Below are 22,930 nucleotides of genomic sequence, written 5' to 3'. Positions count from 1 at the left end.
GTTTTTCAGAAATTTCAGGATTTTGTCTCAGTACTAATTTCGTTTTTTAAAAGAGCTGGAAAAGAAAAAGTCACATCTGTTTTAAATGTTTTTGGTTTTGCTGTATTATTAAAATGTATCAATTACCGTTTAGTATTTTAATCTTAATGTTAGATACTGTTTAATATTATCTGTTATATAATCTCTTTCCTGATAGGTTTCTTTTTTATTTCATTGCCTTGTACCATCCTGGATTATTACCCTGTTGTGCTTAGGAAACCCTCTAAGTAATAGAAGCTGAGGAATATAGATGAACTGCAAAACTAAGTCCATAATCATTACTTAGTGATGATTTTATGCTGTATTATCAAAAGTAAGGGTGTGGTCATTCCACAGAAATGCAAATATAGTAGCATTATTTCTGAATCAATAAACAATTAACAAATTGAGTTTGCTAATTCTCTTAGGTGAACTATACTGATGATATTTTAAATTCTGTGCATATGAATACTGGGTAAAAGCATATTTTTTTCTTGCAAGTTATTTTATATTTACTATTTTTATATGCGGTATTTATAAAATGTAGATGCCCTGTGTTTAGGATGAACCAAGCTAACTTGTAAAAGTAGTGATTAAGCACTAATGTTATGCTGAACTCCTGGTACGCCTTTCACCTCTTGGAAGCAGTATAGAAAAATATAAGAAATCGGCAATGTCTAGTAAAAGTAGATAGAGTTATGATAGAATAATATATCATTTACTCTTCCACACTGAGATTTTAATGTAAGCAGAGAAACTTGACCTGTGGTTGCTGCTGTCTCAATTAGGACTTTTCCTGGCTTCTCTAAGCACGTGATATACATTTCAAGAAATGACTTTTCAAATTAAGTATTAATTATAGCCTTTTCTTATGCAATATTGGGTGAGAAAGTGTAAATATTCCTGTGTTCAAGTTCTACTTCTGGGACGATGTGGCCAGGAGCAAATTTCAAATACTAATACCTAAGTCTCATTTTTCTCATCTATAAAAATGAGAGTCATATTAGATTGTCTCTAAATCCTTCTGAAATCCTGTGTATAAACCTAAATCAGTATAGTATCCTTTAGGTGTTTTTACCTCCAGTTGTTTCTAATTTACGTGTACATTTGTGAATAAGAATGTATTTCTTAAAAATGTTAGGTAGTTGTAATTATTTTTTTAAAGTATTAACTTTTAAAAGCTTTTATTTCTTTGTCCTCATTGTTAACCATTCTACCTGTTGTTTTATCTAAGCTTTTGAATAGAGTTATTGATTTTTTTCTTTCTTAGATTTATTTAACAACTAATTGTAGAACAGAACAGCTATGTCTCTTTAAAACCTTGAGCATTGGGAAGCACTCTTTGAGATCTGGACCTGATTACCCAGATTTAGAGTACTTAGATTTGTGCTGTAATATGGGATTATCAAGTCAGAACATTTAATAAATTCATTATATACAGTTATTATCCTCCAATGCTTGAAGGAAAAGATATTGCTAACACTTAAGAATTTACTACCGTCATATTTGAGTGACCAGTTTGTAGTGGGAAAACATTCGATAAGCATTATCTGATTGCAGAAATGAGAGAAACTTACACATCATGTGTTTTGTTTCTTAAAATGAAGAAAATCACATAGAATAGAAACCCTTTTATCTGATTAGTTATGGCTTGAAGTTGGTTGGTTTGAGAAAGTAATACAATTCAATGCATATACCTCTTATTTTTATTTTTGCCTTTTTAAGATTGAGATGTTATTCACATGCTATGATACTCACCCTTTTAAAGTGTACATTTACAGTCATGCGCCATATAATGGTTTTTCAGTCAACAATAGACCACATAGGCAATGGTGGTCCCATAAGATTATAATACCATATTTTTACTAAACCTTTTCTATGTTTAGTGTGTTTAGATACATAAATACTTACCATTGTGTTAACAGTTGCCTACAGTATTCAGAAGTACAGTAACATGCTGAACAGGTTTGTAGCATAGGGGCAACAGCCATAGCATGTAGCCTAGGTATATTAGATTGTACCATCTAGGTTTTTGTAAATACACTCTGTGATGTTCTCACATGAAAAAATTTCCTAAGAATGCATTTCTCATTAGATAACCGTGTCATTAAGCGATGCATGACTGCAGGTGGTTTTATTATATTTACAAAGTTGTACAACCATCATCATTGTCTAATTCCGGAACATTTCTATTACTCTAAACTAAACCCTGAGCCTATTAGCAGTCACTTTCTACTCATTTAATCTACTTTCTGTGTCCATAGATTTGTCACTTCTGAATATTTGTATAAATGGAATCATACTATATGTAGTCTTTTGTGTCAGGATTCTTTCACTTAGCATAATTCAAGGATTCATCCATGTTGTATGTATTGGCACTTATCTCTAGAGTTAAGAGCTATATTTTCCTTATATACACAGTACAACAATATGAAATTACAGTTAAAAAAGATGATTTAAAACCATTATTAAAGTAAGATTCTTGTGTATAAGAGTGTACAGTCTATGTTGCAAGCTTTTAACCTATTGTGATCATTTCCACAGTTTAGATTTTGAAGAATGTGCTCACAAATTGCTGAAAATGGAGTTTCCTGAAAGCCAAACAGTATGTTAATACTTTTTCTATTAGGAAATGTATATATTGGTTTTAAAAATGTTTAAGGCTGTTAATGGGTAAGTTTTGTGGATTGAAGCAATACCTCAGTACTAAATATTTATTTTTTAATGTAGGTTTTATATCATTTTAAGTTAACACAAAGCTTAGGGTGTTTCAGATATATTGCTCACTCCAGTGAATTAAATTTTCTGCTCAAATGAGATATGGTAAAAAGAGAGTCTCTGAAACACTGCACTTTATGTAGAATTTCTGAGTTGTTGCCTATAAATCAAATTTTGACTTGAATATAGTAGGAAATTTGTTCTTTAATGGATTATGTGGTCCATCTTCTGGATGCACTGCAGGGGTATCCAATCTTTTGGTTTCTCTGGGCTACATTGGAAGAAAAATTGTCTTGGGCCACACATAAAATACACTAAAAATAGCTGATGAGCTAAAAAAACAAAAATTTGCAAAAAAAAAAACATAATGTTTTAAGAAAGTTTATGAATTTGTGTTGGGCCTCATTCAAAGCTGTCCTGGACTGCATGCAGCCTGTTGGCCACAGGTTGGGCGAGCTTGTGACTAACGCATTCTTTGCAGTAGAAAAGATAAAGATCACAGCACATATTACATTGCTCTAGTTGGATATAGAAAAATTTATATAATTTTCTTCATTCTTTTTTTTTTTTTTTTTTTTGAGCCAGAGTCTCACTATGTCGCCCAGGCTAGAGTGCAGTGGCATGATCTCGGCTCACTGCAACCTCTGCCTCCCAGGTTCAAGCAATTCTCCTGCCTCAACCTCCCTAGTAGCTGGGATTACAGGCACCCTCTACCACACCTGGCTAGTTTTTGTGTTTTTAATAGCGATGGTGTTTCACCATGTTGACCAGGCTAGTCTCAAACTCCTGACCTCAGGTGATCTGCCTGCCTCGGCCTCCCAAGGCAGTGGGATTACAGGCGTGAGCCACCACTCCCAGTCTTCATTCATTAATTCCTTTAATGAAAATGTATTCAGCAGATACTATATGTCAGGCACACCACAAGATAGCTCCATCTTGGCTCCATGGGACTCACTGTCTTACAGCTTGATATACTTCACTTTTCAAAGTATGAGAACCCTAATGCCAAGGATAATAAAGATCAGATTAAGTAGATAAAGTTGCTCTTTCTTCTGTTTTTTTTTTTCTAATGTATATTATATATATTGCTTCCTTCCCATCTAGATATTACATCCTTAGAAAAAACTGAGCCATAGCTTTGGTGATTGTATTTTTCTCACGTTGCTTTAAATGTGGTAAACCGGGCACAGATGCCAGAGTGAATGTATCAGCTCTGATGGGCTGTTCAGTTTCTAGTTCTTCTAGGTCTTCTTGATTATCGGAGCTAAGTTACTGTTAGATATAAATTCTTTGTCCAAAGCCTTTAAAAATGTTTATGTGTTACAGAGGTTGGCAGCCTGCGGTGGAGGCCTGCTGCCTGTTTTTATGAATAAAGTGTTATTGGAATATAGCAAGACTCATTCATTGATATATTGTCAATGGGCTGTTTTCACACCACAGCCGCAGAATAAGTAGTTTTGACAGAGATCATATGGACTCTAAAGCCTAAAATATTTATTATCTGGCCCTTTACAGAAAAGATTTGCCAGTCTTTGTTCTAGAATATAGATTAATTCTTGAAATATAGTGATATGGAATTTTGACAAAAAATTATCTTTTTAAATGTAAAAGATTCCTTTTTTTCCCTTTCAAAGTTTTGTTATTGGTATATTAGTAATAGTGTGCTTGTTTGTACACTGGCCACGCTTGATATGCCATCATTGGAAGGAAATTAATACATTAAAACCCTTAAAATTATAATTGTCACTGAAATTACTGTATGATCTTGTCATGTTATTTGAGGAAGATAATTAAGCCATCATAAATTGTATTAATATTCATTGAGAAGATAGTTATTCCAGAAATAACCTCAGTATATTTTGATAATATTTGGAAAAGTATCTTAGTACATTTATTTTCATGTACTCAAAAGACTCCTAAAATTGCTGTAATAATTAAAATGTTAAAATATTTAATTCTTATAAGCTAGAGGGAATAACTCTTATAATTGCGTTTAGTCTAGGGAAGAAGGTAATTTGTTTTGCAAGTAGTGCATAGCAGTGCTATCAGCATATTACCATGTTTTGTTGTTTAAAACCTGATTAACTGTTATATTATAAAATGTAATGTTGGTAAAAAAAAAAAGTTGAAAGTGAATTTTCGTATATGAAGTTAACATAATTTGGTAGAATTTAGAAAAGCCTTATTTTTTTAGTTTTTAGTACTTTATGAAATTTTGATAAAGTACACCTTTTCAGAACTTACACATTTATAAACATTTAGTGGAGATAACTTGAGATAACTTGAGACTTATCTTTATTTTTATATATATTTATATATATATATAGCACAATATAATGGCATCTGAAAGTAGCCAGCCCTATGTTGTAAAGTGAGGCCTTTGAGCTTTGAGTAGATTGTTCCTTGAGTATCAGTATCTAAAGCGGTGCTGTCCAATACAACTTCCTGTACTGATGGAAGTATTTATATTCTGCACTTTCTAGTACAGTAGTCGCTAGTCACATGTGGCTTTTGAGTACTTGAAATATGACTAGTAATGTGGCTGAAGAACTAAAATTTTAATTTTATGTATAATTTAACATAATTTAAATTTAAATAGCCACTAGCCATAATGGCTAGCGGCTACCATGTTGAACAGCATAATTCTAGAGTATCTGTTCTGTGCTTCTCCAAGGTTCCCTTCCTACCTCTTGCTCTAAGTCCTCCTCTGGAGTCTCTGACAATACTGTTAACATATGCAGTAAATACTTAATTATATAATTTTTTAAAATATTTACTATTTTTAGTTAGGTTATATCCTGTGTTAGTAAATATGACAAAATGTCAAAATTGTTCATTGAAAATATAAAGGTAAAAATTAAAAAGCAACACGTTTTTATATGCTTGCTTTCTGTTTGCACAAAGCAAGTATATTACAGTTACTCTATTTGGAAAATTGTTTTAAGTTTCTGGTAAATCTTTATAGAAAAGATTACACTGATCGTAGATGAATTAACACCTTTTTTCATTTTGTCTCTATTCACCTTATGTTGCTTGAGTTTTTTCATCTATGACATTGCTATAATCAATACATATTTCATTTGAATTATTTCAGGAATTAATATATTAATTAAGAAACTAATTTGTTAAGTAGAAATCATCTGTGATGATAGTATTTCTTGACTGGGCATTTATCCATTAGTTTAACAGAATTTTCAGAGAGGTTTACATGGCGCCTGAATAGCTAATTGGAATAATATACTAGCAGTTATGGAATGATTCCATTTATTTGTATAGATCCATATAGATAGGTCTATATGAATAACATTTATTTTGAGGTGAGAAAATTCATCCACAGAGGTGTTTTTTGATGTTTCTTTATCAACGTTAACTTTATGTTAACGTTGAAGTTGTACCTACTTATGCCTCTGTAAAGACTAATAATGATCTGCCTTTTCCATGCTAAATATATTCCTTAGCAATTGAATTCATATCCTTGGGACATATGTAACTGAATTGTTAGATGTTGTGTTGGTGAGTCTATATTTAAAAGAATTCTGCATAGAATCCTTTAAGAATGCAGTGTATTAAATCTCTCCCTCATATGTCTGTTTCCTATACTAGATTTTCTTGATGTGGTTCATACTTATCATGAATTTAGAATTTTATAATTAATGTAATTAGCATAAATGACTGTGGAAGCTGTCAGCCAGACCCAAGCCTGTAAAAAATGATGAGTTTAACATAGATTGAGGTTTTTATTTTATTTACAAAATTTTTGAACTGTTTTAAACCCTTATTTAAAAATGCAGGCAGTCACTATCATACTGGTAAATTATACAATATTTAGTCTCTTTGTGTTTTGAATCATTAATGTATTTTTTTTCCCAAATAGAAAGAACTCTGCAACATGATACTTGATTGCTGTGCCCAACAGAGGACATACGAAAAATTTTTTGGCTTATTAGCTGGGGTGAGTTCCAGCCTCTACTGAGGGAATTCTTAAAACGAATATTGTAAATTAATGATTTCTGCTTTATGGTCTGGTCTCATTTAAAAACATATTACCACTTTTGCTAAAAGCAAATTATTCTCTCCTTCCTCAGGTTTCCCACTCTCTTCACCTTCCTCTTTTTCTACTTCATTTTTGCAGTGCTTTAACTTTGCATATCACTTTTCCAGAGCTTTTTGGAATTTTCCATGATTTGTAATGATTTCCCAATAGACGACAAGTAAATGCTGTCTTTTCAAAATCTCAAAGCAGTGTCTAAAGTCAAGTACATGTTCAGGCAGCACAATTAAAGCATGATCTAAAATATTTCTTTAAGCTCTACCCTCATGTGATCACCTACATGTATGATTTTGTTTTAACATGTAAATCTCAGGTAATTAGAAACCATATATATTAACTTCTTTTTTGAGCATCATATGGCACAAAAGGATTTAGTGATATATGCTCTTTGAAAATATAAAGCATATTAATAAAGTTTTGATTCAGTAAATTTAGGATTTAATATGCTCATAATTGTATTAACATTCAATTTTTAATGGTACTGATTTTTTATTTATTAGCGATTTTGCATGCTAAAGAAAGAGTACATGGAATCCTTTGAAGGTATATTCAAAGAACAGTATGATACCATCCATCGCTTGGAAACAAACAAGTTGCGAAATGTTGCTAAGATGTTTGCTCACCTTTTATACACTGATTCACTTCCATGGAGTGTAAGTACATGGGTCAATATTTATACTTCCTTCCTAATTCCCTGTTCTCAAATAGATTTTCGTATAAGCTAGCCATATTTATCCTATTATGAAATGTGCTTTAAAATGAAATGTGTAGAACTGCTGTCTTTGAGATTATCATCATGTTATAAGGAATCAGAAAGCTAGGTAAATAATATACAAGAAATACTATCTTTGTATTATATTAACAGTCCAAACATGCCAGTGTTTCGATAGTGATGGCTAGGAGTGTCTTCAGGAAAAGTACTGCAGATTTTCATCTTCTCTGTGTACACACACGTGCATGCACACTCACATCCACATATGCCACTATTTTGGTGGTAAATGTGTCTCTGAATTACTCTCCCTTGATTCCTGAGGGAATAACTCTCCATGGTTCTCTTGTTGGGTTTGAGAAAAAATGATTGTTCTAGAAGGATGTGTTCTTTTTAGCAGACATTGAAGTTGGGTAAGCTATAGAGAGGATATCCTATAGTCATAGAACAAAGAAAGATATATTCTTGATAGGGAAATGTGCACTGGATTGAAATTTGAAAGGCGTTCATTAAGCTGGCATTGATTTTACAGCTGTTTTTCAACCAGTGTTAGTTAGCCACCACTTATATACTGAGTCATTGAGAGAGGTGCTGTGTATTCAGAGTGAATTATACATGGCCCCTCCTTTCAAGAGGGTTACAGTATAAGACCAGAGGTAAGATATGCCCATAGCAATGATACAAAATAAAAAGTCTTAGATTCTAAGAAAAGCAAAATTACTAAAGGAATTTGAAAGAAAGAAAGAGAGAAGGATGAGAAATTACATCCAGGAGGAAAGAACAGGATTATCTTGTAGAATGCCATCCTACTAATGGTAGAATGAGGCAATATCTCAAACTTAAAAACATTGGTTAGATTTTTATAGTACTTTAAGTACCAAGTATGTCCAGCTACATTAATAGGCATTCGTAATCTAACCTAGGAGACTAATTGTAATAATTTTTGACTTCTTTTTTCCCCTCTTTGAGAAAATGAAGTGAGAATTTTAAACAATTAACCAACTAATGGGCCCCCCAAACACATAACCCATAAAAACTAGAGGTTACTTTTATTTTTATTTTCCCTAAAAATATTTCTTTAGGCATTTCAGTTTTTAAGCCACAGTCTTAATATTCAGAATAAACCATTATACTTTCTGTCTTTTTTTAAATCGTATGTTATGTGTGCTAAACAAAATTGTAGCCTAATGTGCTAAGTGGCATTTTGCCCCAAACCTTCATATACACCACATTTTGATGAGTAAGGTTTAGGAGCTAGTAATCTTTACCATTATATGCTCAAGAGAGGATATCTTCCCTGCTATAAAAAGCACATTACTCAAAACAGAGAATGAAATCTATTTCTGTCGCATCTTAACATTTTGAAAGTTAGTATAGAGAAGTAGTTTTAAACTTTATGTCAGCATAAGGGGAGATATTCAGAGATAACTCTGGTTGAAGATGGGAATAAATAGTAATTTTGAGAAACACTTAAACCTACAAATATTGGTCACTATGTCCTGTCTTTTATAAATTAAAATATACTTGTCTTTTTTTATTTTAATTTTCAGGTTCTTGAATGTATAAAACTGAGTGAAGAAACCACTACATCATCCAGTAGAATTTTTGTCAAAATATTTTTCCAGGAACTGTGTGAATACATGGGTCTTCCTAAACTTAATGCAAGATTAAAGGATGAGTAAGTTTGCCATTAAGCACTTTTTATTCTTATTGACCTCTGGTTTTCTCCCATTGTAGCAGACATAAGCCCATCCGAGACTGTAAAAACAAGAGCTAAGCCCCCTGAGACTTTCTTCATCCATTAATCACTGTGAATTTCATGTTATGTCACACAGGACAACATGCAACTTTTAGTGGTGGTTTTTAGTTTAAGTGGAGTTCAAATTAATGCCTTTTTAGATTTTCTTAGAAAATACAGAATTGTTTTTGTATGCTCACTTGAATTCTCCAGTGATATTTATAATTTTATTTTCTTTTTACCCTAATTTTAAGCCTTAGAATGATAACTAATATTATCAGTGGACAGTTTTGAGTATATATTTCATCTATTAATAATTGTTCAAAATATTACATAGAACTAGAGCCTTATTTCAGGATTATTATGTAATCCCCTCTCACCTTTCTTATTTCCTGTTTGTTCAGATTGCCACTTAGGTTGACTTCTACTCCATTGACACTACTGAAATCATCCTTTCAGATTTCTCAGTGACCACCTGCCATATTCAGTTGTCTTTCTCAGGCTGCATGCCTCTTCACTTCTCTGCCTCACTTATGCAGTTGACTACCTACTCACTGTGGCTCCATACTTTCTTCTCACTTCCTCTCTCAGTCTTCTCCTCAGCCTGCCTCTTCAGTGTTCCTGGGTTCCACACACTGTCTCTGGACTATTCCATCCACTTCTCTTGGCTTCATATACTTACTTATTTGGTCCCTGTCTACTTGACCAGGCTCGTCTTCTCTCTCTTCAGCAAGCTGCACTCCAGCCATACCAACACTGCCAAGCTTGTTAAACATATCTGGCTCTTTCATGCTTCCTTACCTCAGTTTCCACTGCTGGCATTCTCCTGTCTTATTGATCTATCTGGGAAACTCTTAATCATTCTTCTTATATTGTACCTTTTTCTGTGAGAAAGTTTTTTCTGACTCCACTGAGTAGTTACTCAGTGTGGTGCTGAAAACCAAATGTCCAAAACCACCTTGTATTGTTAGTGTCTTTCTGGTTGTCTCACTCCATATATATTGTAATTATATGGTCTTCATCCTTGATTTCTCCCTTTTGTTGATGACTTCCACCTCTCCCCCAGTACTTGGCACAGTTCTATGTATGTGTGTGTACGTGTACATACACAACAGAGAAGGTTTTTAAAATTTTTTGTACATATATTCACTATATATACGTGTGTGTATATATATACACTATATATATTCACACGTGTATATATGTGTATATATTTATCTTTCTATATGTGTGTGTGTAAAAAAAGTTTTTTAAAAACCTCCTACATTGTATAATGATAGAAATCAAGTTTGGTACATTATTACTTGACCCTACTCATTTCATTTAGATAGCACGTAGCCTAACCTAATAAATGACATCAACTAGTTACTTGGTTGTATTTCATTTAGTAATTTAATATATGAAAAATCTGAAAAATGACTAAGGATTTTACCTTTTTATCTTTAAGCAATGTGTTCTCTTTTGTTTATTTTTTTCCTTTTTAGAACTCTGCAGCCATTCTTTGAAGGATTATTACCCCGAGATAATCCAAGAAACACTCGGTTTGCCATCAACTTCTTTACTTCTATAGGTCTTGGAGGTTTAACGTAAGGATTATTCTCAGAATTTATGTTCAGATTATAAAATTATCTCATAATTGTCTTTGAAATAGAATCTAACAGATTATATTTTAAATTAGGGATGAACTGCGGGAGCATCTCAAAAATACACCAAAGGTCATTGTGGCGCAGAAACCAGATGTTGAGCAAAATAAATCCTCCCCATCCTCTTCCTCTTCAGCGTCCTCCTCTTCAGAGTCTGACTCATCCGACTCTGATTCTGACAGCAGTGATAGCAGTTCAGAGTCTTCCAGTGAAGAGAGCGACTCTTCATCCATCAGTAGTCATAGCTCTGCCTCAGGTATTGAAGCTTATGTGTAATTTGGCTTGCTCTTTTCTAATAAATATGTTGCTGATATATATGAAGGAAGAAAATAATTTGATTGTTTATTTGTCTTAGAGATCAGTTGTTTAAAAGCCACAATTAATACAAATGGTCCCATCTATCATTCTTGCAGTCTGTAATACAACATTTATAATGCTGGGATTACCTTTTGACATCCTCATCATAGAAATGAAAATATTTCATTCGCAGATACTTATCTGAGTGATGACTGATATGAACCATCCATTCATAATGTTTGTAATCTAGTTTATAGGAGCTATCCTGATGTTTTTATTTTAAATAAATTTTAGTTTTTTACTTTTAATATTAAAGCTGTTTGTAATTGAGATATATCATACATTCATTGTGGATCTCAGATGCTATATGAATTTTTATAAAGGGAACACATCCTCATAGCTAGCACACAAATCAAGATATACCGGTACCCCAGAAGTTCTCTGTGTTTCCTCTCCCAGTTACTACTCCTTCCATCCTCATGGCAGCTACTATTCTGATTTGTAATTTCATAAATTAATTGTGCCTGTTTTTACCTTTAGCATTATGTATTATGGACTCCTTTTTATGTCTGGCTTATTTTTTTACCATTATGTTTGTGAGATTTAGATGCATTACTGCATTTAGTTATAGTTAATTCAGTAATATTGCTATGTAGTTTCCTACTATATGAATATACCACAATATATATTTATCATTTTTGCTCAACAGACTTTAGATTTTCAAGTGATATTTCCATGTATATTCTTGTACATATCTTTTGATGACCTTATTTATTTATTCACATTTCTACTGGGTATGTACCTATAGGTGGAGTCAGTGTGTCATAAGATGTGCATATATTTAGCTTTGGTGAATACTGTCAGTTTTCCAAGTGGTTATTCCTATTTACACTCCCACCGGCCATGTATAAGAGTTTCATTAGCTCCCATTCTCATTAATACTTCAAATTGACCGTCTTTTTCATTTCAGCCATTCTGGTGGATGTGTAATGGTACTGCATGGCGGTTTTAGTTTTAATTTGCATTTCAACTAGAGAAGTTAAATGCCATTTTATCCATTATTGGCCATTTGGATTTTTGTTGTCAAGTGGCTGTTCAAGTATTTTACCAATTTTTTTTAGTTAAGTTGTTTTCTCTGTTGATTTGTAGGTTTTCTTTACATATTCTAGATATGATATCTTTTGTACATATATGTATTGCAAATAACCAGTCCCATTCTTGTCTCTCTAGCCCTGCAAGGCTACCAGACCTCTGGTGTCTCTGTCCCTCAGTAGCATCCCTGAATCAGCAGATGCTCCCAGGGAGAAAGTAGCTGTAGAACATCACTTACTTCTCAATGTTTCTGCTTTCTCCTGCATCTTGGCCCCTCTAGTACTTGTTTTTCCACTAGCTCTCTGATGCCTTTATATTTTTTACTTTGTAACTGTAACCTTTTATTCTGAGCTAATTTTAGATTTAGGAAAGTTGCAAAAACAGTACAGAGAATTTCCATATACTCTTCATTCCAACTTCCCCTAATGGTAGCATCTTACATAACACTGGTTCATTTATCAAACTAGGAAATTAGCATTGGAACAGCATTATTGACTAGACTACAGATGTGATTTGAAAACCAGTTTTACCACTAATGTCGTTTTTCTTATTTCAGGATTCTGCTAGCATTTAATTGTATTCTCAGTTTTCTGCATTCTATGATAGTTCCTCTCGGGCTTTCCTTGTTCTTAATAGCTTTAACACTTTTGAAGTCCTCTGGTCACTTATTTTGTAACCTGTCCCTCAGTATGGAGTTTCGTCTGATGTTTTCTCCTTATTAGAATGAGATTAGACATTTTTGGCAAGAGTACATTAGAAACAATGTGTTGTTCTTAGTGCATCTTATCAAGAGGTTCATAATTTTATTTTGGGTGACAACCTTGATCACTTGAGTAAGGTGGTGTCCACTGGATGTCTTCAGGGAAACTATTTTTCTCTGTGAAAATGTCTTGTAGGGAGGTAACTTGATACTATGCAAATCTCTTTTTCCTCCAGCTTTTACTCACTAATTTTAACATCCATCTTTGGATGGTTAAAAAATCACCTAATGGTGATTTTTTATTTGTCTGTTTTCTTCTACATCTAGTAATTGAATTTCTTCTATAAGAAAGTATTGTCCCTCTTCCCTCATTTATTTATTTAGTCAACTGTAAATATCAATATAGACTCACGGTTATTTATCTTATCCTGTGGGTTAAAGTCCAATACTGTCATTTATTTTGCTCAAATCATCTTAGCTTTGGCAATTAGGAGTTCCTTCAACTTGATTTCTGTGTGCTTTTCAACATTTTTCAATGCAACATTTTAAAATTGTATCTGGCATTTCTAGTTATTTTCAGCAGGAGCACAGGTTTGCCACAGTCTTCTCTATCCTACCTGGAAGTGGAAATGCTATAGTAAAAGATGTTTTCAAAGTTTGATCTGGTTCACAGTTTCTGAAAAGATCTGTGTTGTTTTACCCAAGGTCAGCTCTGCTTTCTTTCATTACAGTATCTTGGTCCAAATAAGGGATTGTCTGCTTATCCTACATGCATGTCATTTCTCATTTTGTTTTGTTTGGATGCAATATTTCATCAAATATGGCATCAATACTTTCCTCTGTAGCCTTAAATTGAAAGGCCAATCTTTACACCTTTGTTCCATAGCTTGTTATGTTTCAAAGTGTTTTACATACTGTGTGACATCCAGAATTGTGGGGCTGTTTTTTTAATTATCAGAGAAAGATTGTTTGCTTACAGGAACTTTTATTCATGAATTGAAGTGTACAAACATTGTTCATTTAACATTCACCATTTTTATATTCTACAGAATTTGTTATTTCATGGTATCCATTTTGAGAACAGATGATAACACAGCATGAATTGCTGCAATAAGGAAGCTTGCTGATTCAAAATTAATTTGCCTTCTCATATAATTTCAGTAGAGAACTTTGTTTTATTAATAAAATACTAAATAGCATAAAAGCAGCATGAACTGCCCCAAAATTAGGAAATTATAATGCAAACATAGCAAACGGAGAAGAGATTGCCTCTTGTTACATGGCTGGGTTTTAATATCAGTAAAGCCCGACAGTGGTGTACAGTAGGATCAAGGGGACGCTGGTTTAGCACAGAGCCAGATGGTTTCTGCTTGGGTAGCTGCAGCTCAGCTGAGCTGTTTGATAGGAACCAGAGAAATAGGTCCTTAGTGGCAAACCAACTGACTGTACCATGTGCCAAAGATATGCATTTAGCGGAAGAAATAGAGGCTGGTACAGTGAGATTTAGGTAGAATTAGGGTGACAAGAGGCACTTTTCTATCATATTTTCTCTTTCTTGCCTATGTATGAATTTGAGAGAAATTTTTGTTATCTTAGCATCTTTGATTTGTGCACCCAAATTAAATAACAGATAAACTGATTAAGTTTGTTTTATTGCTTAAAGTGGTTATTTCAGTATAACCATTTTGTATTTATAGTTGTGATTACATCAGCAAAATCAAATTGTTTGAGGTCTTTTCAGAAGAGTTTCTACAGAAACTAAGCCTTTGTGGCTCTAATAAAGCCCATGAGTGTAAATCTTAACATATCTGCTCTTGTTGGTGCAGTTAGTGCCTCTCTGATAGTAACAGAGGGGAGAACTATTGTTTTTGCAGGAAGAGACCTTTCATTGAGAAATATATGTTCATGCTGTTAAGCAAACCCAGTTGTTCTACTCCTCCTATGTTTAGGAAGTGAATGCTAGTTTGGGTGATCATTGTATTTTGATCTGACTTAATAGTCCTATGAATAACACTCTATGGGCTGGAATTTCAGCTTTTGGATTCAATTTGTTAAGTAGAAATGTACCATTTGAGTCGCTTTCTAAAATTTTTACATTTGCTATAAAATTTCTGTTTACTGTCTTAAATCTCGAGATCAAAACAGTACTTTGGTAACTAATGTTGAGATATTATATATTCCCCTTCCTCCCTCCCCTCCCCTTCCCCCCCCCCCTTTTTTTTTTTTTTTGGACAGAGTCCCACTTTGTTACCCAGGCTGGGGTGTAGCGGTGCATTCTTGGCGTACTGCAACCTCTGCCTCCCAGGCTCAATTGATCCTCCCACCTCAGGCTCCTGAGTAGCTGTGACTACAGGCTGACGCCACCACAGCTGGCTAATTTTTTGAATTTTTTGTAGAGAAGGGGTTTCGCTACGTTACCCAGGCTGGTCTCCAACTTCTGGGCGCAAGCAATCTGTCCCCCACCCCCTCTGCTTCCCAAAGTGCTGGGATTATAGGCATGAGCCACTGTACCTGGCCTGAAATATTGTATATTCTTAAAAGGCCGAGGCAGGCAGATCACCTGAGGTCAGGAGTTCGAGACCAGCCTGACCAACAGGGAGAAACCCTGTCTCTACTAAAAATACGAAAATTAGCCAGACATGGTGGCAGACGCCTGTAATCTCATCTATTCGGGAGGCTGAGGCAGGAGAATCACTTGAACCCAGGAGGCGGAGGTTGCAGTGAGCCGAGATTGCGCCACTGCACTCCAGCCTGGGCAACAAGAGCAAAACTGTCTCAAAAAATAAAATAAAATTAAGCATTTGGTAAGACTCTGTGTCATCAGACTTTCTATTCAATCAATTTGGCTTTGCACCTAGTTTATCTGAGTTAGTAAACCTACACTGTATCAGTAAATGTGATTGTTATAATTATGAAATTAAGATTGAAATAAAAGCTAACTGTCTTTTATTTTACACACGCAGCTAATGATGTAAGAAAGAAGGGACATGGGAAGACCAGAAGTAAAGAGGTAGATAAATTGATCAGAAACCAGCAAACAAATGATAGGAAACAAAAAGAAAGAAGACAAGAACACGGGCACCAGGAAACAAGGACTGAGAGAGAAAGAAGGTCAGAAAAACACAGAGATCAAAATTCAAGTGGTTCAAATTGGAGAGATCCTATAACAAAGTACACATCAGACAAAGATGTTCCTTCTGAACGAAATAACTACAGTAGAGTTGCGAATGACAGAGACCAAGAAATGCATATAGATTTGGAAAATAAGCATGGTGATCCCAAAAAGAAGAGAGGAGAGAGAAGAAATTCTTTTTCTGAAAATGAGAAGCATACACACCGAATTAAAGACAGTGAAAATTTCAGAAGAAAAGATAGATCAAAGTCAAAGGAAATGAATAGAAAGCACTCAGGCTCAAGAAGTGATGAAGATAGATATCAAAATGGTGCCGAGAGACGATGGGAAAAATCTAGCAGATACTCTGAACAATCCAGAGAATCAAAGAAAAATCAGGACCGGCGAAGAGAAAAGTCTCCAGCAAAACAAAAATAATTCTACAAAATGACATAAACTGGACATGCCTTATATTCAGTTGAAACAAATTATTTTTTACTTTGACGAACTTTATAGAGAATTCTTGTATAAAGTATTGGTTTGTATTTGTAAATTTAAAAAATGTTTTCATTTTAACATGTTTTATAATTGATACATCTCAAGGCCCTACCCATAAAATTATTTGAAAACTTTCACCAGAAAGGGATGTAAGTCTCGCTTATATTTTGTGAATAAAATGATCAAAAGCTCATTGATTCAGTGATGTTTTTTCAATTGACAAAATATTTTTTTAGTTGTTTAAGAAGCTGTTATAGTGAATTATCAGTGCTTTTTTGTTTGTAACTGAAGACCAAAACAGGTGAACCTTTTCAGTTTAACAGTTTTGCTTTGTTAATGAGATGTTATGAATCTTTTTCAGGTAGTCACTTTTTTTTTTTTCAGTAGAGGATTTGTTACAATTTTCATATTAGGCTTTGAACAAAGTATGTAATGTGTAATTTTTTTCACAAGTGTTGGTAAAGCTAGGTGTATGTTACTCTTTAAACCAATACGCAGTTATTTATAATTAGAACTTCTCCCACAGGAAATATTTCTTCTCTCTGGACTCCTTGATATCATTTAATTGAAATTCTTTGTGATTAGTGCATTTTTCTCAGCCTTGAAGTTATATCACTGTTGATGAATTAATGTGTATTTAATTTTTAGTTTAGGTTAATAGATCATTGGAAAACATATAGTTGTGAAATATGCAAGCAGCCTAAATGTAATTTCAGTTTTTTATATGAATTTTAAGGGTTTCCATCATTGTAACTGTTAACTGATTAATTAATATGACCACATTAGTTATTACTTTTGAAATAAATATTTCCTCTAAGATATTAGACTTGCTGACAAACATTTTAACTTCCTTGCTAAATATAGGCTTCTTGTGTTTGCTCACCTTAAAGGTGCATATAGTTCATTTTAGCCAATGTTTGGTTTCAGGAATAGTGGGACCACCATTTTAATGTTTAGTTTTTGGGCATATGCTGATTCAAAATGTTTCCTATTTTTGTTGTTTAACTTGAGTATAAATAACAATAAAATTCATGTAAAGAAATATCCGCTCCTTCTCCCCACCAACTCACAAAAAGCATTCATTCGAATGAGACAGCTTGGATAAATTCCTTTTAGTGTTTTCTCCCTTTGTGGTGGTTAAAATTTGGTGTCATTGGAAGGGACCATCATGGACAGTGCATTCCACAGAACTTACAAGCTGAGCAAATTGGATTTAACAAACATGTAGGCCATGAGCCCTAAGGGAAATAGTTTTTTTTTTTTTTTTTACCTGAACCCTCATCTTCAGGGTTGGTAAAAAGGAAAAAACAGTAGACTAGAAATTTTAGTTTATTTTCTACACTTTAACCTTAGTTCATGACTTTTACATGTAAAAATGGGAACCCATTCATTTTATTAAGTGCTTAAGACCTTAGAGTTATTAGATTATTTTTAAAATGTTATTAATATGTATTAATCTTCTACTGTTTGCTCAGGTTTGTTTTAGGTACTAGAGATAAAACAGTGAACAGAGTCTCTACTCGTTGAGACTTATAGTTCAGGGGAGGGAAATGGTAAACAAAGACAGTAAATAAATAAATATATGATATATCCAGTAGTGGTAAGTGCTATGAAGAAAAGTAAAGCAGAGAAAGGCGAGACTGAGTGATTGGGGGACAGGGTGTATAGACAGAGCAGTTCTTTGATGAGGTGATGCTTGCCCAGATATCTGAACAGAGTGAGGGCTTGAGACATGTGGATTGCTTGGGAAGAACCTTGTAGGCAGAAGGAACAGCTGTAATACAGATGTTTTTTGACAGCAAATATTGCCTGGAAATTTTTGTTAACATTTCCTATTCTACTTAACTTGTGTTTTGTCTTGTGTGTGTGCTCCTCACTATGTTCTATACTCTTATACAAGCAATTAATACCTAACTACCTCTAGCAGAAGTATTTTGAGTATAAGTGAGTTATATCAGAAGCAGAGACTAGAAGCTGGATTGAGGAACTATTCTGTTCTGCTTTGAAAATGCATTTCTGCAGCATCAACTATGATGTATTCACATGTACTGTCTGCCGCTCAGGCAGATTTTTCACCTTCACTCTTTTAATGTGTAAACAAGAAACATGTTGCCTATGTTTGCTATTTCTATATTTTTACACTATTTCAGAGTTAGTATTTTTTAAGGATCAACTGAATTCTAGATACTTTGCATGCTCATTCCTTTTCAGGTTCTCAATTTCCTTGCTTCCAAAGTTCTAATTCTACATCCCTAGCTACCTACTCCCATTGTCATCCCCGTTAGGTTGGCTTTCAAATCATACCACCTCTGAAATCCCTCCTTGAAGCATCATACTTTGGCCACTTCCCAACCAGTTCACCTGCTTTAGTACCACTATTCTAGAAATCCTTCACCTCAGCAAACCTTCTGATCCATTGACTTTGTTACAATCAGTTACCAATCCCCACCCCAGCACTTCTTTACTTCCCTCATTCCGTGATCTATCATTCGAATAGATAAATGAACAAATAACGAATTTAATTCTTTCAAAACAACCCCATGAGAATTGGTATTGTCTTCCTACATCACAGAAGAGGAGACTGGAGTCCAAAGAGACTAATTAGGCTCAGGCCACAAAGTTGATAAGTAGCAGTATTTAACTCAGATCATCTTCATTCCAAAGCACAACTGGAGGATGAATAAAAGCCAGAGAGAAGGATTTGAGAATCAGCTCTGTCTCCTAGCAGCTGTGTGAACTTAGGCAAATTATTTCACTTTTCTGACCTTCTGATTCACCTTTAAAATACTTTTGTCTACCTTACACAGTTGTAGTGATTATTATATGAAATAATGAAGTCAAAGGCCCTAGAATACCATGTAACACAGTGGGCATTTAGCAGAGTTCTTTTTCATAGCATACAGCAAAGATGTGGAAGAAAATTCAGGCTCATCAACTGGTTCATTGATTGCTTCATTCCATCTGTAATGCCATTTATAGTTGAAAAAAACCAGAATCGTGTTAAAGTAGCACAGCAAAATGAATTGATTGTTTTGGAGTTAAGGTGTGACAGAGTAATTATCCATCACTTCTATCATAGTACCTGTTTCCCAGATGTACGTATCCTGTTAGCTCAAGCAACCTACTTCCTGTGTCTTATACCACTACTTCACATTTCTCAAATGTATTATCAGAAACAAAGGTTTTGGCTATCCCAGATAGTTATGAGTGAGGTTTTTATTCTTGACTTGCTTTGTTTACACCATTTTGATTTTGACTTAACTGACGTGTAATCCCCCCCCCCAAAAAATTCATAGATTAGCAGATTAAAGTCTTCCCCATAGATTTTTTTAGAATCCTGATGCCTTTGTTTTCCAATCCAATTCTCACTTCTTCCAATATAGTCAAATGTCTTTTCTGTCTGATCTTTCAAGTTCTTTCATTCTGTTCTGTGTATATTCCACGGAATATTTATTCAGCCAAGCAAACTTTAACACCCACTGATACTTTAGGAGAGAGCTCAGAGTGCCCAATGTGACATCTTGGAAACCTGTTCCCTTAACATGGACATTTTCACATTACACACTTTGAAACACTCATTGAAACATCTCCAAATGGTGTTCCTGGCTCTCATTGTGATGTCTTGTGTCCCCTCAACCTTGAATATGCTCTACAACTTCCATTTATACTCACCCACATATTACTAAACCTCATTAAAAACCTCTGAGTCTGTTGCATATCTCCAATTAGAACTTCAGTTTCTTGAAGTTGGTTAATTGCATCTATGCATTTTATGTTTACTAGACATAAAAATGAAGACAAGTCTCTACCACTCCCACCTTCCCCTCCCGCCACCCAAAGTTCATGATTTATGGCAAGAAACTAAGCTATTGAGTTCATCTCAGATCATCTTAGGCACAGGTAAGAGGCAATGAGATAACAACCCAAAGTCACACAGAGGTGTGCATGTCCGTGTATTTACTGCGGAAAAGAGCACAAGTTCCTGTGGCTGAAATGGAGGTATCTGCTTTTAGGAAAAGACTCAGATTTCATATAGGGTAACTTAGTACCATTTAATTTGAATACTATTTGGCAACTGCAAATTAAGTCTGACTGGATTTTTAATCTTACCATTACCCCTTTCTGGCTGTTGACATTTAGGCAGGTCTTTGAACCTCTTAGTTTTTTACCTGTACAATGGTACAATTATAGCACCTCCCTCAAATGGTGGGTGATCTCTGTGGCATACTTAGTGCCTGCAACTAAGTGCTCAGTGTGCTATTATTGCTGTTACTGGTTTTATTCTTAACCATTTTCATTAAAGCTGACATAATACCATTAGACCAGGAATTGCAAACTCTAATACCTACAGGGGCCAGGTGAAAATCACAAATGAGACAAATTGGGTAGTGAACTGGAGTCATTTAAAGGCAGCACCATTTACTCAGCTTCATCCAATTCTGCCTGTTAAAATGAAGACAAGGTTGACCATCTCCCTGGTATTTGAAAGAATTAAATAATCCGAATTTTTATGGAGCTTCTGATTTTTAAATGTTGACTATTAAATAGGCCAGAATTAAGCTGTCCAAACAAAATGATCTACAGGCAAACTAACTTTACAGTAGCTAATTTGTGACTCCACTCTAGACCCTCAAAAACTATTACTTAATTTTGGAATGGCACTGTTAGACATAGAAGGTCATTTTTTGGTTTCTGCTCCTCATAGAGTGGGAAGATAAGGTCCTTCATCTTTCTTGAAACACCTTTTACTTTGCTAACCTCAGTAATCCCCGCTAGCTAAATTGCTCTAAAACTTTTGTCAAGTTTTAGTTCTGCATTTCATTGGCCTACTCCCTCCTTGTAATCCAGGGATGTAAAATACAATTCGTTTTTCCTAAAATCTGCATATTTTCTAATCTCCTGCAATTGGTTCCACCAATCTCCCATCACCTGAGTTTTCATTGCTAGTCTATATCCAAATCACCAAATTGCTTTGGAAAACTTTGGCATGCACCCCTATCTTCCCACACAAACTGCTGTCACCATAGTTCTGGCCCTTTTTACTTTTTCTTTTCTGTTTCAACTGTTAGACAATAGTTTATTGTTTATCTCTGCTGTGTGTCATATACTATGCTAGTTGCTGAGGATATAGCCATGAGCAACGGGGACCTCTTCTCAGTTGAGCCTAAATTATTACAGGAGGAAGCAGAAAATAGTCAAGTTTTTTAAAAAATAAAAACTTATACTTTGAAAAATGTTAGCCATTCAGAAAAGCTGAGAGACCACTTAGGTATCATCTACCTAGATTCAGATTAATCGAAAGCATTATTTTCATCTTGTCACTGCCTTATACATTGAAGCAATGACTCTTCCAGCCCATAGGATAAATGTAAATTTCCACCCTGTTACTTTAGTTTCTTTAAAGTCCAAGTTCAACCTGTGTTTTCTTAATGTTTGCTCTAGGAGCTGCCATCCTTTAAGCAAGACGATGTGACAGGCTTGTCAGTGTCTGATTTTTACAGGAACAACTGTAAGGTAAGAGATATCCCAATTTTACAGCTTGCACGCTGGTGTTTACCCAGCTAAGACATGGCAGAGCCAGGACTGCATCAGCCACGTGATCCCGCTTGACAAATGAAAACGTTTTTTGCTGATTGCCTTGCTGCACAAACACTGCTGGACAGGGCTGGTTATTTACTGTCCTGAAAAGACATTGTTCTTTCTCATCTCTGGATGTCTGCCTCCAGTGTACCCTCCACTTGAAATATCCTTTTCTGTTTGCCTATCCAAATCTTTCAAAATTCAGCACATCTTCCTTGCTACTCTCATAAAAGTAAGCAATTCAAGCCCCATGTGTTAAAAGACCCTGTAATCAGTACTTAATGCATTGTGTATTGAGATCATTTTTATCATTTATCCTTTTTTTAAAATTTCAGCTTTTATTTTATTTTATTTTATTTTTTTCGAGACAGAGTCTCACTCTGTCGCCCAAGCTGGAGTGCAGCGGTGTGATCTTGGCTCACTGCAACCTCCGCCTCCCAGGTTCAGGTGGTTCTCCTGCCTCAGCCTCCCAAGCAGCTGAGATTACAGGCATCTGCCACCATGTCTGGCTAATTTTTGTATTTTTAGTAGAGATGGGGTTTCACCACGTTGGCGAGGCTGGTCTCAAACTCCCGACCTCATGATCTGCCTGCCTCGGCCTCCCAAACTGCTGGGATTACAGGCGTGAGCCACCCTGACTGGCCTCAGCTTTTATTTTAGATATGGGGATACACGTGTAGGACTGTTACATGGGTATGTGAGACCCAGGTAATGAGCTAGTACCCAATAGGTAGTTTTTCGACTTATGCTGCCATCCCCATCCCCTCCCTCCCC

At 34.8% G+C, this 22,930-nt stretch overlaps 1 protein-coding gene across 5 annotated transcripts in view; it reads left to right on the top strand.

The window, feature by feature from the left end:
* CWC22 (CWC22 spliceosome associated protein) overlaps positions 1-16,769 on the top strand; it is a 62,422-nt gene extending 45,653 nt beyond the window's left edge. For 4 of the 5 annotated variants that reach the window (NM_020943.3, NM_001376032.1, NM_001376029.1 and 1 more), the window contains 7 exons: positions 2,563-2,623; positions 6,611-6,688; positions 7,288-7,440; positions 9,047-9,174; positions 10,719-10,820; positions 10,913-11,133; positions 15,930-16,769. In NM_020943.3, coding sequence (NP_065994.1) covers positions 2,563-2,623; positions 6,611-6,688; positions 7,288-7,440; positions 9,047-9,174; positions 10,719-10,820; positions 10,913-11,133; positions 15,930-16,516 — 1,330 coding nt within the window. In that variant the 3' untranslated portion in view covers positions 16,517-16,769. The remainder of the gene's footprint in view (positions 1-2,562; positions 2,624-6,610; positions 6,689-7,287; positions 7,441-9,046; positions 9,175-10,718; positions 10,821-10,912; positions 11,134-15,929) is intronic. The other variant, NM_001376033.1, reaches the window with a different exon arrangement.
* Positions 16,770-22,930: the final 6,161 nt, after the last annotated feature.

This window comes from Homo sapiens, chromosome 2, assembly GCF_000001405.40.
Source record: "Homo sapiens chromosome 2, GRCh38.p14 Primary Assembly".
NCBI lineage: Eukaryota > Metazoa > Chordata > Mammalia > Primates > Hominidae > Homo > Homo sapiens.
Note: the sequence above shows the minus strand (reverse complement) of the source record. Positions and strands in the feature narration are given on the sequence as shown.